We start from the raw sequence: 18851 nt of genomic DNA, 5'->3' as shown, positions 1-18851 counted from the left end.
ACTTAACACGACTACTGTACCCATTCACATTGTGAGACCATAAAATTCCAACAACATAGAAGGTTGTTTTTCAAGATGTCTGACTAGACCCATTGATTGCCAATTATCTCCATAAAGAAGATAAATGTTACTAGTGAATGGACAAGTTCCAAATGGAAAACTGAGGGAAGAAAGCCAGGGCCTGTTGGAGTGCCTATGGGAAAAGATGCGATGCAGAAAAGGAAAGCTGCAGGAGTCTGCAGGGATTGACTCCCAGGGAACTCAGAGCCCCATGGAAAGGGTTAGTAGGAGTGCCTCTCTGCTGCTCCCCTCACCCCTGCGGCAATCTGCTGACTGCTAACACTGTGGGGAAGCCCCTCTGCCCTCATAACCCAAGGCAATGCTATCTGTAACGATTTGGGAACTTGCCGGAGATGCAGAACCGTGTGGCCAGCTCATGCAGGCAGGCTACACTCCTCCCAGGCCTGAACCCAGATGGCAGGCGCCATACTGGTGGTGCATTCACAGTGGGCCACTGCTCTGCGCAGGGATCTTCTGCCGTTGAGTCACCGCACCACCAGATCCCTCCCAAACACACCTCACAACTGAGTCTGACTCTGGCATGCACAGGGGACTAGCGGGTCACTGAGTAATACAAACCTGGGTGTGGACCACCCCTCAGGGAGAGGGGAACAAACCCTGAGAGAATCCCTCTTGGGACAAAGAAAACGTGGGTGCAGAGCCAATCACTGAAGGGGGCAGCACTGATGCCTGGGAACAGACGTGGAGAGGGGGTGCTCTCCTGCCCCACCCCATCCTCTGTTGAGGTTGCAGCAGTGGTTCTTTACCCTGGGGTCTGGCGCATGTGCACCTAGAGAGTTCTCCTTCACTTTTCGTAGCTGCCCCACCCCCGCTGAAAGCGAGCCTTTATATAAAGGTTTGGGCTCAACTCCCACTTCCTACACAGAGCAGTAGCAATGCAGGACAGACCAGTGACAGAGTTTGGGCCTATCCGCACTGTGGCTGGGAAACAAAGGACAAAGTCTTTATGAACTGAAGGTCATGAGCCCTGCAACAGGGGCATGATAGGGAAGCAGACCGTGTTCCTGCCGGCTCAGGATGAGGAACGGGTGCTACCCCTTTAGCTCCCCTTCCCCCGAGGCCTCAGCGCACACCTCAACAGAATCTCATCCTGCCACTGCTTGCATCACCTAGTATGCTTCCGCTGGTCATCAGCCTGCCTGAGGGTGAGCCGGCTATCGCTCTTAAGCGCCATCTATTGGACTGCAGTAGAAGGCGCGTAAGCGCAAATGAGAGGATTGGGTTCTATTTCTGCAAAGTAAGGGTATCAAACAGTTTGTGAGCATAGTTTATTTTTCAATATCTCTGTATATTATTATATGTTATATACTGTTATTCAAACGAACACTGAATAGATTGACTACAGTTGCTGACTTTGTCTTTCGTCCGTTTATCCCTTTAAATCCTCAACCTAACAACAAATTCTAAAGACACTGCTTCTCAGAAGCTCTTCATGCCAATCAGCCCAAACCACGTTGTCATCACTAAGGCTAACGTGACCTTTTAAAGCCATAACTTATTTAAGAGGGTCCCAGCATTGGGCACTACTGGCATTTCTTCTTCCTTAAAATACTATCCTTCATCGTTTCTGTGGCACCACGCTCTCATGGCTTTCTCTTCTCCCTCTATTTCCTACCCACGTTTTATGTTCCATTTTATCAACCTATTATGAAAGTGTGAACATTCTTCAGAGTGGTGCCCTAAAAACTATCCTGTCCTTTCCCCCTTGGTTCCTTTTTTTTTTTTTTTTTTTGGTCTTTTCCAGATTACATGCAATTCATTTTTTTTTCTTAACAATCTCTTGGAAGGGCATGCACTCTTTGTTTTTTCTTCCACTCTCTATGCATTCATATGGAGACTGAATTTATATGTCTATGTTTTTTTCCTGGGTCCTGCAGCATTAGAGTTCAAGGTGCCTATGTACACTCTCCTTGGGCAACCACAGTTACTCTTTCGACTTGAGTTATTATCTAAGTGCTGCTCATTCCCAAATCTCTACCCTCAGCAGAGACATCTCTACTGAGCTCTTGACCCATATATTCAACTGACTCTTAGACCCTCCTCTCAAATGCCTCTGGCACTTCTACTTCCGCATCTAAAACTGAACTTCTGTCTCCAAATGTACTTCCCTTCATAGCTTTCCAGAGTATCGTCTTCTCTATTCCCTAATATATAACTTTTATGTGATTCTTTATTCCTCCACCTCTCCCATTCAAAAACATTCTTACAGCCCTAGCATTTCTACCCCTTAATATTAGGTGTGTATACTCCCTTCTATCTCCTCTGTCCCTGCATAAACACAAGCATTCCTCAACTCAGCTGCCTCCTAATGACCTTCATCTCTCCAATATTGTTCCATTATGGATGCTAGCCCCAAAGAGACGCTTTAAAAATTCACACCTCATTGTGTCTTTCCCTAGCTTAACAATTTTCAGCTATTTGGCATTCTGTGTGGAATAATGTGTAAAAACTGTAGCATGGTTTCCAAGGCTTCTCATGAGATAATCCCTGCTTACTTCAGGCTTCACCACCACTGCCACTTCCCCACATCTACTGCATTTCAACCTGTTTAATTACATTATTCATTATAAAGATGTCCAATATCTAAAGCAGACTTCCTCCTTTGTCTTTTACTTACAATTGTTTAAATGGCTCCTCTTTTTTCCTTCCCTTGTTATTGAGTAAAAAAAAAAAATTCAAAAATTTCTTTAAAGAAGTGTGTCTGCAGAATTATTTGTCAGGCTCTGCAAATAAAGTTGTAGAAAAATATTAATTGCAGGATTTTTGATGTTTTGCTTAAAGATACATGGTGTCAAAGTTTCAGTGTTTCTGAAAGACAGCTGAAGTTCATAAAATGCATGGAGTAAACAAATAAAATGTCTGGCTATAGACCACCAGGAACATATCTACAGTGCAGCAATGAAGGCCTCTGCAAAAAGCATTAAGTGGGAATTGTTAAAGGATTATGGCTTGTTGTGAATGATTTTTTGAGGGCTGCAGGAAGCAGAGGTTTTCTCTGAACTGGGTGTTCTCAGGAAGAGGGAATAATTCCATAATTTGATCTCTTAGATTTTTGGGTTTTGTTGTTGTTGTTCTTGTTGTTTTTACTGAGAAAGGAGGAGTAACAGTTGGAGCCGTGATTGGTAAAGAAGCAGCATTCACTGAGGCGAGATGGGAGGGAGGGAAATTGGTCATGTTTGTGGTTTGCGCAGTTCCTTGTTTTTATCTGTACTCAGTGAAAGTTAGAAAGGTTTCAGCTTGCATCACGATCACAGAGTGCCTCCTCAGATGTCATTTTTCCTGAAATTGTGTGTGTTTAAAAGAAGAAAGCTATGGCCTAGCTCTTAATGTCATAACAAATGAAAACTCTCAAGGCTATTTTTTTCTTTCTCAAAAAGAGGGAATTGGAGACCACACAAGACAAAAAAAAAAAAAAAAAAAGATTGTAAACCTCCCTAAAAGCAATCACTTCAGCCTCCTCTTCTATGTCAAATAGATGGAAGTGATTGCAGTAAGTGATGGAGAGGGATGGGAGATGAGAAGTGATTTTAGATATAATTTTAAAGCTCACAGAATCTTTGTGAAAGTATTCCTAGGAATGGGGTTTCATTTGGGATATTGCTAACTCCCGTGGTATGGAAGCTGCTATGATGATAATAATTTCTCTTAGGATTCTGTTTCCTACTGGGTTCTGTGATCATAGAAGCTACAGTTACAGTGTGTGGAATGGATATTGTGTAGATGTTGTATATATGCTGACTATCCATAAAATATACATTGATTAAATTTGTGTTTGGTTTCATGAGCATGACAGTCTTGGAGCTTTTGCCCAGAGTGCTTCTTACCTTTAACAGTCTTCTACCCACTTCCCTATCCGCTAAACCCTACTTACATTTTAGGCTTTAGATGAAAATTCTCTTCCTTGTATAATCTTCCCCTTGCCCATTGTGATTATTTTTATGCCTTCCTCAAGATCCTAAACTTTGCTTATCAGACACTTGGCATGATTTATTATAACTATTTCTTTCATTGTCTCTCTACTGCTGGAGTCTAAGTTCAGTAGAGGAAAGAACGATACTTGTCTTGTTAAGAGTTATGTCTTCTGCAACTAGAGATATATTAAATTAAATCAAAATTTACTTTTGCTATTAAAATTGCAAAAAATGCTTGGTTTGTGGTAGGTACTCTAAACAATTGCTGAATTAAGTTATTAATAAAACTTGTGGGAAAGAACTTCAAATGTCTTTAGTAAACTGAAATATTTGCTTTCTTCTCTTTCTCTTGTATGTGTTCTTTAATGTGTCCGCAGCATTCATTCACTTGTATTTCTTTCAACAATGTTTACAAAGGCATACTGTGTGCCGCATATTTGCATATTTTGTTAGACATTTGGATATGAAGATAAACCCTGACTCAAGCAGGGCTTTGTTGCCACAGAGATCTGTTGGCTACAGAAGAGCAATGTAACAGTAGAGTACTTATGTAATAAACATTTGCCTGGAGAAAATTCAGGTTGTTATAGAAACACACAGAAATATGTTAAGGCAGACTTGTTTGTGAGAAAAAAAGCACACTTAAACTAGCGCAAGCAAAGGAGTATTTACTATAAAGATATACAGGACATGGTAAGGGATCCTGAAATGCAAATACAGGAATTGTAAATGGATGTCAATACATTATAGGAAAGGTTCAGAGTTCAGGCTCTCAAAGGAGACTGCAAAGGTTAGTCTTTGGGAGGCATCATTTGCTCACTCTACGGCCTTAAGAAACAGTTTAACTTTTCTGTGCCTTGATATGTAGAGTGGTGTTCCCATATGTAGAGTAGACTGTGGTCCCAACCTCTTAAAGTAGTTGGGAAGATAAAATGAGTTAATCCTTGTGGACCATTTGGAATACTACCTGACACAGGATTCACTCGCAGTAAGTGTTAATTTTTGATTTTAATGGAATAGTGCTTTTTTGAGATGGAGTTTGGGAACTGGTTCCGTATGTAAGACATATCTGGGAGCTAAAAATATCTTGGATCCTGGCTCTCACTTACACTTTGCACACCCAGATTTTCTTGCTTACCACTGTTTAGCTTCTTTATCTCATTTTTAGGTCATTCTCCCAAGGATGACTCTGTAGTCTGAACACTAGCAATGATCTCTTAACTGCAGCTTCTAACAATTATTGCCTAATTATTTTTGTGTTTCTTATTTCATGTTTCCAGGGGAAAGAATAAAATTGGCTTATCCTATCTGCATCACAGGCCAGAGAGGTCCTCAGTTTTCCTTATGTGCCATCTATAGCCCAGCCACTTTTGTTTAGAGATGATTCATATGATACAAATGAGAAAATAATGTAAGATGCAATGTTGAAAATATGCCAATTCTAACATTTTATTATACATTCCTAAGAAGAAAAAGGTTAAAATTTCTAGGGAAAACAATACCAGTGAAGTAAAATGAATTTGTTGTAAAGCAAATTTAATTCTATATATAATAATAAAAGTAAACTTACAAATTTCTTTCCAGCTTTATTGAGGTACAATTGGCAAATATAAATTGTATATATTTAAGGTACATGACATGATGTTTTGACATATGTCTATATTGTCAAATGTACCACAATCAAGTTAATTATTATAGACATCACTTTACAGAGTTACCATATTTTGTGTGTAGGGTGAGAATATGTAAGATCTTTTTCAGCAAATTACAAGTATACAATACAATGTTCTAAACTATAGTCACCATGCTTTACATTAAATCTCCAGAACTTATTTATTCTGCATAAGGGAAACTTCATAAAAAGTATATTTTTCAATGTATTTCTGAGCTAAAAAGAATGTAAAGAAAACTACTATATGCCAAATATATGAATGAAGGCAGAAATCCATAGAGGTAAAAAACTCAAAAGCCTGTGAGTCCCTGAAGGCCCATGCCAATCTTTGCTGACTTCGAGCTTGTGTTTTAATGTCTGTGAAGTATGTGGGAATAGAGGGAAAAGTTCAGTGTTTGCTTGGAGAGATCACATGGGAAAGTTAGCAGAAGAGCCAGCAAGGCACTAGGTGGTGGGAAAAATTATATCTCACCTGAAAAAGGATAAAAACTTTCTGTAACGTTGTGGCCTTATATATATTTGGGACCTACCTGGGTAGTATCCAAAACATCAAATGGATAGATATTTATTGCAAAGTGTTCCCCGGTATGTAGAGCCTGCAGACATCAAATACAAATGCCTCATGGAAGAAAATAACCCATACACGATAGCATACTTAGGAGCAATGACAATATTCATAATGGAATGATTTGGATACTTCAGTGATTACTGAGAAGTATTTTATAACTCTTTATGCATACTTATATTTTTATTTGTAATCATATTTGTATCCATATTCATAACATTTATTTAGAGTGAAGTTTTTGTTATTCAATTTCAATATTCACTGCTTCTACTTTTATAATAACATCCCTAATCATGAATTATTTACTTGATTTCTCTCTCAAATTCCATTGACTAAATTCCATTTTACATATTATAGAGATGTGTGTATATCTGAGTTATTATATACGAAAGCAAGTCCTTCTGTTTCATAAACATATGAAATACAATATCATAAAGAGTATGTTATATTGAATCACAACATTTTTCCCTAAAAATATCTGTCATTGTTCTAGAATTTTAGTATTCAGTGTTCCTGTGTAAAGAATGACTTTCCTTGTTTTGTAGGAAACCTTCTATTTTCTTCCCCTATGTTCCAGAAATCTTTTATCCCTTAAATTCAAAATTGTGTCAGACCAATTTTAGAGGTTTTTTGTTTATTATTATCATTTCAGATTTTAACTGGATGATTGATTGAAAGTAACAGTCCTTGATTATTTTCTTATGAGAAAGAGGTTTATTCCCAGATATCAACGACATTTTTCTACAGCCAGAAACACTGAATGAAGTACTACAACTCCCAAAGTGCACTGCTTCCTTAGCTCTTCCTGGACCAAACCCGTTTCATTACTGCCTTTACATATCCATAAGTAAACCATGCATGTAGATTAATATAGATGCATCAGGGAAGGTGTTGATCAGTGTATGAAATAATCTATATCATACTACCTATTAAAATAATATATGCAAAGATATTCTCTTTCTTGTATCAAACGCTATTCTTCCACCTTCTGCAATACCTTGTTCATCTCTTACACATTTATGTGTTGTCATCTACTATGAATTGATAAAGAAGCTGATTAAATTCAAGATAAATTTATCTTTTAGGTACTATTAATTATTTCTGAAAGAACACATAGTGTGAATAGATATATTATAATTCATATTATAAATACCCTGCATGCTAATACTTAAACATTCATTGTTTCTGAAATCCCAGCTCCAACATGCTTTAGGCAGAAGAATTTAGTTGAAGAAAGAAAGAGCAGAGTAAAGGGGCATGAGAGGGACAATCCTAGAGACTGGGGCTAGTTCACTGAGAATAGAATAGTTCACTAAGAATAAACGTGACTAAGAGCTGTCAGTACTTTAGCTCCATTTGGCCAAGGTGGACTACAGAGCAAAATTAAATGCAGGACATGCCTTCAACAACACACCAACATTTTGGTCTTTGTAGAAATTACTTATTCTGTACATTAAATAAAATTCAAGTTCAGAAGAATAAATACAAAACTTTAGATATTAATTACGATTTCTATCTTTTTTCTGGAAAAAGGTAAAATAAAGTTGCAAAAACTCACTTCTCATAAAAAAGATCTTACCTATTAATATTTCCCCTTTGTATATGAGGTTCCTTTCTACCTCTCCAGTACACAAAATAATGTATTATTCCTTTTATTATCAATATTAGTTTCTTAGATATAGTTTATCACAGTAAAATGACTGAAAAAAAGGCTTATTTTCCTCTTATCTTTATTGGAAACCATTGCAGCTCCAATGAACCATTAGCTGTCTTAGTGAAGAATAGTTTAATGTTTACATTTTTTTGTAATCTTCTTAAAATAAGAAAATGAGCTTGGTAAATGTCATTGCTGAGTTAGCTAAGTATTTAGCTAATACTGTGATCGCTTAATCTTTTACTCATTAATGATTTTACTAAACCTGTAATGGCATCCAGTTGAGGTCAAACATCTCTTGTGAGTTCTATGGAGAATTCATTTAACACTTAGAAATTATGCTTTGAGAAAAACAGATATTTAGTCTCACACACAAATGAACTTCATAAATCCATCATTTTTGGATAAAGCTGTCATCTGGCATGGCTTAAATGAGTTTAAACAATGGCCATTAGAGCCTCTTACAAAGTCAGTGAACATGAGCTCATGGTTTTTCCCAAGGATCTATCATGACTTTATATGGATAGTCTTAAAAAGTTTCATCTTGTCTTCTGTCTCTTTCTACTGGTTTTATAGTCTCCTCATAGACTAATCTAAAAACTCTTTGTTCACCTCTTGCATACTGTTTTCAATCTGACCTTGTTCTCCTATGACAGGGACCATTAGTTAGGAGTGTGTTAATGAGAATAAATGCCAAGATAAAAAGGATAACAGAATCTTTATTTTATTGCCTTATAACAGAATCTTTATTTTATTGCCTTTTCTCTGTCAATGAAAAGAGTCAAACTCTGTAAAATATTCGAAGAGACTTATTCTGAGCCAAATATGAGTGACCATGACCTCTGACGCAGCCATTAGGAGGTCCTGAGAACATGTGGCCAAGGTAGTCTGGGTGCAGCTTGGTTTTATACATGTTAGGGAGGCACGAGGCATCAATCAAATACACTTAAGAAATACATTGGTTTGGTCCAGAAAGTGGGGGCTTCCAGCTTATGGGTAGATTTTAAAACTTTCTGGTTGACAATTGGTTGAGTTTATTTAAAGACCTGGGATCAACAGAATGGAATCTCTGGGTTAAGATACAGGATTGTAGAGACCAAAGTTCTTATTTGCACAGGAAGCCCTAAGGTAGCAGGCTTCAGAGAGAATAGGTTGTAAAATGTTTCTTATCAGACTTGAAGTCTGTGTCGATGTTAATGCCAGAGAAGTATAATGAGGCATATCTGACCCCCACTTCCCATCATGGCCTGAAACAGTCTCTCAGGTTAAATTTTAAGAGTCCTGGGTGAGCAATAAGTCCATTCAGATGGTTGGGGGGAGGTGCTTAGAATTTTATTTTTGGTTTACATCCCCGTGGTTACCAAGAATTTACTTCTCTGTTGAGTCAGGGTTCCATTCATTTGATTGATGGGTCTTCTATTGTAGCTTCATACTGCAAAACTGCCTATTAGTTGTGGAGAAAATTGAGAATGTTATGTTGCCAATGGTACTTGATATGAGTATTTAGATGAAATGAGGAAAAAGAACTAACACATTTAGAGTGACAATTGGTTTTACTAAAGTCCTGCAACTTAATTAAAAAATGCAAAATCTGCATAGATCAGAATGACCACCTGGTGGAAGTGGAGAATAGAATCTTTAAAATTAAATATAGTGAATTAAAAATAGGAGAACCATGAATCTTAGTAGTACTGCTATTAAAATACTCTTAGAGGATATCATTCTATTATATGTTGAAATGTGTAATCAGAATTGATAAATAGTGCAGATTAGCCCAATGGTTTTCAAATCATTTGGTCTCAGGTTGTGACTGAACTATTAAAATATTTTGGGAGTGCAAAGGACTTTTTGTTCATATATGTGCACTATGTTAATAACTGCATTAGAAACTAAAACAGAGATGCTTAAAATATATATGTATTCAGTAATAAAAATAATGAATCAATTATGTAACATGAACAATATTTAAATAATATAGTTATGTTTTGCAAAATACAAAGATGAGAGAGAAGTGACATTGTGTTTAACTTATCAAATATGTTTAGTATCTGGCTCAATAGAAGAGATCTAGATTACTGTATCTGATTCTGCATTCAGCCTGTTGTGATATCACCTGTGAGGTAGTGTCCAGAAAACATCACTGTACACACTTGAAAAAGACAAATAGCATCTTAGTATTATTAGGAAAACAGTTTTATCCAAAAAATCCTTTAAAGGGGCCTCCGGAGACTCCTAAAGGGGTCTGCAGAGGCCTTCAGGTTATGGTTTGAGCCTGCTGGAGTCGTAGTTAAGAGGATGGATTTCAGAGTTGGACTGGCTAGGCATGAGCCCTCTTCACTATATGATAGTTATTTTTCTTGGAGAAAGTTGCTTAACACTTGTAAAGCTCAAATATCCCATCTATGAAATGGACTTAATAACTATTTTGAGATTTAAAATATACATTTGTCAAATGTAACTCACTAATACTAAAAAATCAATAATTGTTTGTTCTTATTAAACAATGCAAGTATCTATCGAAGTGGACTTCTAGAAATCAAATTGTAATGGTTATATATTTTTTTAATTATTTGTTTGACCTGTTCATGACCATTCAACATGTTAGGAAAGTTTTTAAAGAGTTTTTGACTTACACAACCATAAAACTAACTGAACCATGGGGCTCTCTTTATTGTCAACAGGATACAGGATTCCCTGTGTATATAAAACAAAATCCTCCCAAACTCCTTTAAAAGCAAAACAAAACCAAAAAACAAAAAAATAAAGTCTAAAGAATAAAATTAAGAAAAAAAAGGAGAGAGGTGACTGAAGGCAGGTGATTAGACATAGACAATGAATGACTTGCTTCAAGATGGCAGTCTGTGTAATACACAATCTCAATTGCTTTTTTAAACATATATTTTCAACAATTCTAGGTAGGAAAAATTTAGTATCTGAACAACTGAGGTAGTGATGCCATGATTAGGTATAAGTTTGAAATATTTATTTGTAGAAACATTATGAAAGCATGTAAGACATACCATAATGAACACTTTATTTTTTAAGCAGGGGTAAGACAAAAGCTGTAAATTGCAAAGGTTAAAGATTAACTATTGTATTTATTATTATAATTAAACAAAATTTACAAAAGAGCCAAGCTGATACATAGGTAAGGGATTCTTAATGATTGCTGTGTAGAACGTTAACTAGGCAGAGTGAATTTTCTTAAATATTGATTCCACAAATATGAACCTAAGTATTACAATTACATGTTTAATGCTTAATTTAAATCCGTATAATTAAATAATTTAAATAAATGCTGGGTTTTCATCTTTATTGGTTTATTTTACCATCTATAAGTAGTATTTTATCAGTAATTTCTTTTTGTAAATTATTATAAGTGCAGTTAGAACATACCTAAAATCAGTGCTAATAGATAAATGGATTCCTAACAGTGAAAATGCACAGGATGCCCCATTTAATTCCTCCTCTGTCCTTTCTCATAGCTTTCATGCAAGGGTTCTTGTTTAACGTGTTCTGTTCCTATTGTCAATCCTCACCTTACACCACTACCTCCATCTGAATGATTCACTTCAGGTGCCTGGAATGCCACAAACCATGAGGCAGTAGAAGTGCTGCCTCACAAATTTACACAGGACTGAGGGCAAGGGTGGTGTCTGCTCAGGATCTTCATGTAATCATCTCCTTACCTACCATAGATGACAGAATTTAATGAAAACAGGAAAAGACCTCAGTCAGACTGTAAGCCAGACTCTTGGGGAAGGTAAAATACCTATATTTGAAATTATAGGTAGACACCAAATATCAAAGCGGCATCAGAGAAAGAACTAATTAAAAGGCAAACAGAGAAAATTATGAAATCTATTTCTGATTAGAATTCCAAGATTCTTTTTCATCTGGAAATTTTCTCCCCTATCTCAGAAAATTCACGAAATATTCTTTAGCAGTCGTAACACAGGAAAACTCATTCCAAGTTATTTTACGACCCCAAGTGAGTAAGTTTTTTGGGAGAGTGGAGAATAGAGAGAAGTAGATGAAGACACAATAATCTCTTTTCTAGGCATCCTAAATGGATTGTCTTTGCTTCTAGTTTAGACTTATGAGTAGGCTGCTGCTTAATACCCTGCAGGAGTTTCAGGAAACCCAACATGCCTCAAATTACACTTTCTTCATTTACTTGCTGACCCTTGAAATAATTTTAACACCGGTCATTGATTTTAGTTCTATAATTAAAATGTAAAAAATTAAATGATAATAGCCTAGCCATAGAAGAAAAAGCACAGTGATAGTAAAGACTCTTAAGTGCCTTACATCTTTCTTGAAAATTAATCCTATCTGAGTAGAAAGAAAAAGATAATGTACTAAGATTATATGAGGGAAATACAGGTACATAGAAACATAGAAAGATAAGGTTCACCGGGAGGCGGAGCTTGCAGTGAGCCGAGATCCCGCCACTGCACTCCAGCCTGGGCGACAGAGCGAGACTCCGTCTCAAAAAAAAAAAAAAAAAAAAAAGATAAGGTTCAGGGTAGAGAAGACAAAAATCATGTATTTCATATCAAGTAGATTTATTTAACATTAGTAAATATATACAGAAAGATATATAATATAATATGAATTCCTGGGTTGCCTTAGAATAGAATAAATATATACAGAAAGATATATAACATAATATAAATTCCTCGGTTGCCTTAGACTAAATTCCTGGTTGCCTTAGAAAATTGGAATCCTTTCTTGTGCCTTAAAAAGAAAAAAAAAAGCCTGAAATCAACACAGAAGAGCCAATAAAAACACATATAACTTACTCCTTTAGCATAATTGGAAAACAGAGTACCATGAACACAAATTTGTTTGTAAATAGAGAAATAAACATCAAGCTGATATCACATGACTGTTCAGAGAGGGAAATGGAAAGCTTAAAATCAATTAGCACAGTATAACATCAACATCCAAGAAAGTTCTACACCAAGTGAGAAATACCAAGAACATTTCTGACACCTGATAGATCCAAGCACTCCTACAGGGAATGCATAAGAAATTATTCAAAATTTGATAATAAGGAAAAAAAGATACAATTAATTTTATAATTAAAATATATGAAGTTATTGTCATGTAGGATGTTTAGCATGTTTTTATTAAACTATTCAATTTATTTCAGCATTTATTGGTATGTGTGTTTCATTGAACACACACACACATATATACACACATAAGTATTTATATCTTCCTTGTTATCCTATAATACTATTGGTTTATTTCTATTAATGTGGTAAATAAACATTGATTTGGGATCATTGTGTATTTATATTCTAATTATGGTTTTAATATTTTGAAAATTCTACTTGACAGACCCGAGATTTAGTCTTGAGAAGACATTGGTTCTAGCAGGGAAGGTGGTAACAAAGAAGGTAGGCAATCTTGGACATTTGGTGATTGAAGAGATGTATTTCAAGGAACTGGGTTACTTGATTGTGGGGCCTGAAAAGTCTAAAAATCTGTAGGGTAGATCCACAGGCTGGAAACCCTTGGGCAGTAGTTAATGTTGTAGTCTTGAAGTAGACATTCTTCATGGAAACCTCAGCTTTGCTCCTAAGACCTTGCAAGTGGTTAGATGAGGCCCACTTAGATTATTAAGGTCATCTCCTTCACTTAAATCTACTGACTAGATATTAACCATGTTTACAAAATGCCTTCATTGCAACAACCTATATTAGTGTTTGATTGAATAATGGGTACTAGAGCTTAGCCATGTTGACATATAAAACTAAACATCACAGTGGTAAAGGGAATTAGAAAAGTAGAAGTGGAAATTAAGTGTCCTGAAAAAAAGCAAACAAGAGCCAAAAAAAAGATCAATTAATATTCTCCTAGCACCTGAAAACAATTCTGTTTTTTAAAGAATTCACAATATACAGATATAAGGAAATGCTCTTGAACTAAGAATGTCATAAATTCTCCAAATTCTAACTCTCACCTGCATAAGACTGTTGAGAATCTATCATATGGCCATAAATGCTGTTAGACAAATGTATTTACACAAACGTATTTTGAGTATTGAGTAAATTTGGAGTATTATAGGCAATACTCCAAACTGAAAAATGTTCTCAGATAAAAATTATTTGTTATAAAAAAAGTTGAACTCATGATTAAACAATTAAGTGTAGCTTCTCACAACGGAAAAGTGAAAATAACACAGGAAAATACAGTAAGTCCTCACTTAAGTCGTTGATACGTTCTTGGAAAATGCAAATTTGAGAAAAATAGTGTAAAGTAAAACCAGTTTTACCATAAACTGACTAAGATAAACAAGAGTTAAATTCCTGCAGTATATTTCTGGTCACAGAAACATCACTAAACTTCTAAACAAAAACGCAAAACACTTTGAATAATAAACATTGAAATAAATGTGAGCTAGCTGTACATACATTTAAGAAAAATTAAAAAGATAATTATTTACCCAATTTATGGTGAATTCAGGAGTGACGACAGTCATAACAGTGGTAGATTAAATCGAGAAATAAATCTTTGCAAAGCGAACATTGTCGGGAGCACCTCCTCTCACCATGCATTTCAAAAACAATCACAAATATGGTGGGTTCACTGAGACTTTGTACTGCATTATTTATTATTGTGCATTTGTATGATTATAACTCACTTTATGATTTTTTTACAATAATTTCTATTCAGTCATTAATTCATTCATTTTCCAAACTGTTTATTTCTATTCAGAGTCATGGGTGGCTTGAGCCCTACCCCTACAATTTAGGAGCCAAAGTGAGAACCAACCAGTCCTGAACCAACAGGCCTGGATGAGTGCATCCCATTGCAGGGTGCACTCACATGTGCCCACACTCACTGGTCCCACGGTCCCACACTCAGTCTTACTGGGGTCGTGGAGACAAGCTCATTCAGCTAATGTGCACATCTTTGAGATATAGGAGGAAACAAGAGTAACCAGAGAAAACCTACACAGACATGGGAAAATCATGCAAACTCCACACAGATAGTGGCCCCAGCCAGAGTCAATTTCTCGTTCTCATCAACATGATTTGATGATCTGCTATATGCAATGATATTTACCAAATACAGAACAGAAATTGATTAAAAAAATGTTTTTTAAATCTGAGAGAAAATCAGATAAGATGTAGTCAAGAGGTAATAGATATGAATATAAACCGACTAAGAAACATTGAATAAAAGTCTGAATAGAGAATACAAACATAATTTAACATTCTTAAAAAATAGAAATTATATAAAGGATGAGAAATTCACATGTATATTTGGGATCACTAAATAAGAAAAACAAAACAACAGGAACAGAAAAACTAAAGCAATAGTCCAAGAAAAAAATTTCCAGGACCACAAAAAAGGGCAAAGCCAAAATTGAAATCTACATATTGAATAAGTCCATCCTGTACATAGGAAAAAATTATCTATAATTTGAAACTGTTACTAATATCCCAATAAAACCGTTACAGATTTAAGAAAGTCTTCAGGATTTCCAAGTCATTTTTAACAAAATCATAAGTTTAGTGTTGGAATTTTTGAGATTAATTTTAAAAGCATCAAATAAGTTCCATAAAGTTAAAATACACTCTGATCTCTGACTTTAATATAATAAATTAATTTTTAAAAAATTAAAAAATTAAACAATTCTCCTGGAAATCAAAAAAATATATATACTTCTATAGTAGCTATCTATTGCTGCACAAGAAACAACTCCAACATTTACTGGTTTATATATAAAACATTATTTGCACATGAATCTGCAATCTAGGCCAGGATCAGCTTTGTGGTTCTTCTGCTGGTCTTGTCTGGGGCTGGTCATGCAGCTTCAGTCATATGGAGACCTGACTAGGCCTGGAGGAGCCAAAATGACCCCAGTTGCCTTTCTGTTTCCTCAACAAGGAACACTGTAATATTGGGTGAACCCAGAAACTCTCTGGGTTTCTCTCCCTCATTAGTTTCTTCTTCGGTGCTATAACCATAATTCTTAACATGACAGCTCATGGTTCCCAGAAGTCCTCTTTTGGTCTATATCCAGAATTCACATACTATTACTTCTGCAGCATTCTACCACCAATGTAATCATAGATACAGCCCAGATTAAAGGGAATAAAACTATGTGGGAAAGGTGACGTGGCATTGCCAAAAAATATGTGAAATGGAAGGAATTGTTAATAGTCATCTTGTGATATGATCAGTTAAACAGCTTCTGATGAAAGACGTAATTCAAACTCAAATTACAAAATCTACTTTAAAAATAACAATAATGAAAAACCACATAACACAATATATGGGACTCATTCCATTTAAAGCAATGTTTAAAATTGAATAGAAGTATTTGCTTAGACATGAGGATTAGAAAAGAGCAAATAAAACTATCTGTATTTGTAGATAACAGGATAGATAATATGAAAAATCCAAGATAATCAATGGAACTCTCTAATAAAAAATAATTGTACAACTAACCAGGATTCAAAACTGTAATGAAAACCCAGGGTCTTTATATACATGAAAAGTTATTTACAAGGCATAGAGAAGAAACATAAAATAGCAATAAAAATAAAATGAAAAGATATGTACAAATTTAAGGAAACGTAAACATAAATTTTGTTCTTAGATAATACAACTGAACATCATATAGATTTTGTCTCCTTAATTTAATTTCTAAATTTAGCATAACTAAAATAAAAACACTAATTTTTTTCTTGAAGTGAGTCAGTTGGTTATAAGTTGTATTTGTAAAAATAAACACACATAGCTTTCATCAAGAGCCTCTAAATATGTGGTAGACTACCCTCTGATTCCAAATACACAGAAACATTTCTCCTAAATTGACAATATAAACAAATTGCCATCTCATCCCAACATTTTCAGCAATGCTTGAATATTTGTGGAGTCAGAAAATATTGCTTAATGTTTTATTTAGCTTGACTTTTAAATGAAAATTTTGCCTGAAAGAGAACAGTAATAGGATTCAGTCAAAAAATAACCCTATACCAGGAAATTGGGGGACAGTTGATTTTGTTTGAAAAAATTTAAAAAAACAAAGGAAAAGGAAAAGGGGGAAGAAAAAAGAAAAGAGGAGGAAGAATAAAAAAGGAAGAAATTACAACTTTAGTGTGAGAAACAGAACCTGAGTTCTGGAAACCTCACCCATTAAATTTTTAGTTCAGAACCTGTACTCAGCAATCAGCCTGCCTTATCAAAACTCCTTGCTGTATCTAATGAACAGTCCTCTAGTACCGAAGTTTGCACTTGTCAACTAAATATTTGTAAGAAATCTGTGTATAAAACAGTGCCAAAGATATATAAAAGTCTTAAATTAATGTGATGTGCAAATAAGTGGCATTTATTACTCATTTCTACCACTACTTGCACACCATAATGACATAGGTTACCAAGGGACAAGGTATTCTCCCTCTTAATTATTATTGGTTCTACAGAGAATATAGCCGTTTCTTCATGGCACCATACACCTTTCCTCTTATGTAAAGGAAGAGCTTTTTCATCTCTGTACGTCATAGCTTTAGTTTGTGATAAAGATGGAAAATATTTGAAGAAATCAAACATTGACATGAGGCTACAATATCCTGTAGTTTATAAAAGGTATTTGGTGCTGAGCAGGCAGCAGAGTGCAAAAGCTGGTTTCATCATGTTCAATACAATATTGCCCTTCTACCTGTTTTGAGGAGAATTATATAAGATTCCAGATTTAACGCAAATATTTTTGAATTTTAAATATGTTCCTAGATTAATTTTTAATGAGACTATGCCACCAGTGAGTAAGAAATTTGAAACTCATATCAAAGACATTTGCACAAGTCAATAATATCACAGATAATATAGTATTTTAAGTTCAGATTGTCACAGGTAAATAATTTGAAAAACATCATGTTAACAATAAATACTTTAACATATATAAGTGGCAAATTGATAATTACTTTGGTGATATTGGAGATTTTTACCTGTATTCTGATCGGATTGTTTCCATATCTCATAAAACAAATCATTAAAAAGGACCTGTTTTTCCAGGATTTTTGCATCTTTATTTATATTTTAATGATCTTTAATATTTAAAGAGTTCAAACTGAAATTGGTTAAAGATATTGTCACACATTAACTCATTATCTGTGAGAATCTCTAAACATACTGAAATCATTGATAGTTTCCATGAAATGCAAATATAAATTTAACTGAGAGATGGCATATAGATCACTTGGAAGGACATTTATGAATAACAGAAATACTCCTCAAACTTTTATAAGATTATTAGAGTGCTGAGAAATTACACTCCACTTTCTTTTAGGGTATGCAACCTGCGCATTATTGTCAATATTCTAAAAGTCGACTACCTAGTGTGACAATCAACAAGGACAAACTTGGATTACCTATTTGGTACATTCATTATAATTATTTCATTGAGGCACATTTTTGTGTGTTTACATATAAAATATAATATAATTTAATATAGTATGTAAAATATAAAGGCAATTTAATATTCAACACAATTATTTCTTTCTGTTAATTCCCTAGCTGTTGGATTCATACAATTTACAGTATTTTAGGAGAGTATAGGCTATTATCCTTTAATTTCACATTAGGTTGAGCATATTCTATCTACTTTGTTTAAAAAAAATTAAAAATAATGTTATTTGTCAGTAGAGCAAGTATATTTTGAAGAAAAGACAAAAGACTTAATTCACTAACTTGACTTTTAGTAAATCATGGCCAAAATAACTTCACAAATCTTAGGCCAACTCACTTATAATTGTAGGGATGTTGCTAACACCCACTCCACAATGCCTTAGTCCAAGCCTTCAGTGTCTCTTGCAGTGAGTATGGCAAGCACTAACTGCTCTCCTTGCCCATCATCTTGTATCCTTGCTAGCCAGCTTTCCACATACTTCAGAGGTAAACACTCATACGTTGTGGAACTATTAAATGACTTCTCCGCTTAGAAGT

At 34.9% G+C, this 18851-nt stretch overlaps 1 annotated feature.

The window, feature by feature from the left end:
* Window positions 1036-1330: an enhancer, noted in NCBI's record as "tiled region #523; HepG2 Activating non-DNase unmatched - State 12:CtcfO, and K562 Activating non-DNase unmatched - State 13:Ctcf". NCBI's record gives its function as "activates a minimal TATA promoter and a strong SV40 promoter by Sharpr-MPRA in HepG2 and K562 cells {active_cell/tissue: HepG2 | K562}" and the evidence as "EXISTENCE:reporter gene assay evidence [ECO:0000049][PMID:27701403]".

Source organism: Homo sapiens, chromosome 4, assembly GCF_000001405.40.
Source record: "Homo sapiens chromosome 4, GRCh38.p14 Primary Assembly".
Taxonomy (NCBI): Eukaryota; Metazoa; Chordata; class Mammalia; order Primates; family Hominidae; genus Homo; species Homo sapiens.
Note: the sequence above shows the minus strand (reverse complement) of the source record. Positions and strands in the feature narration are given on the sequence as shown.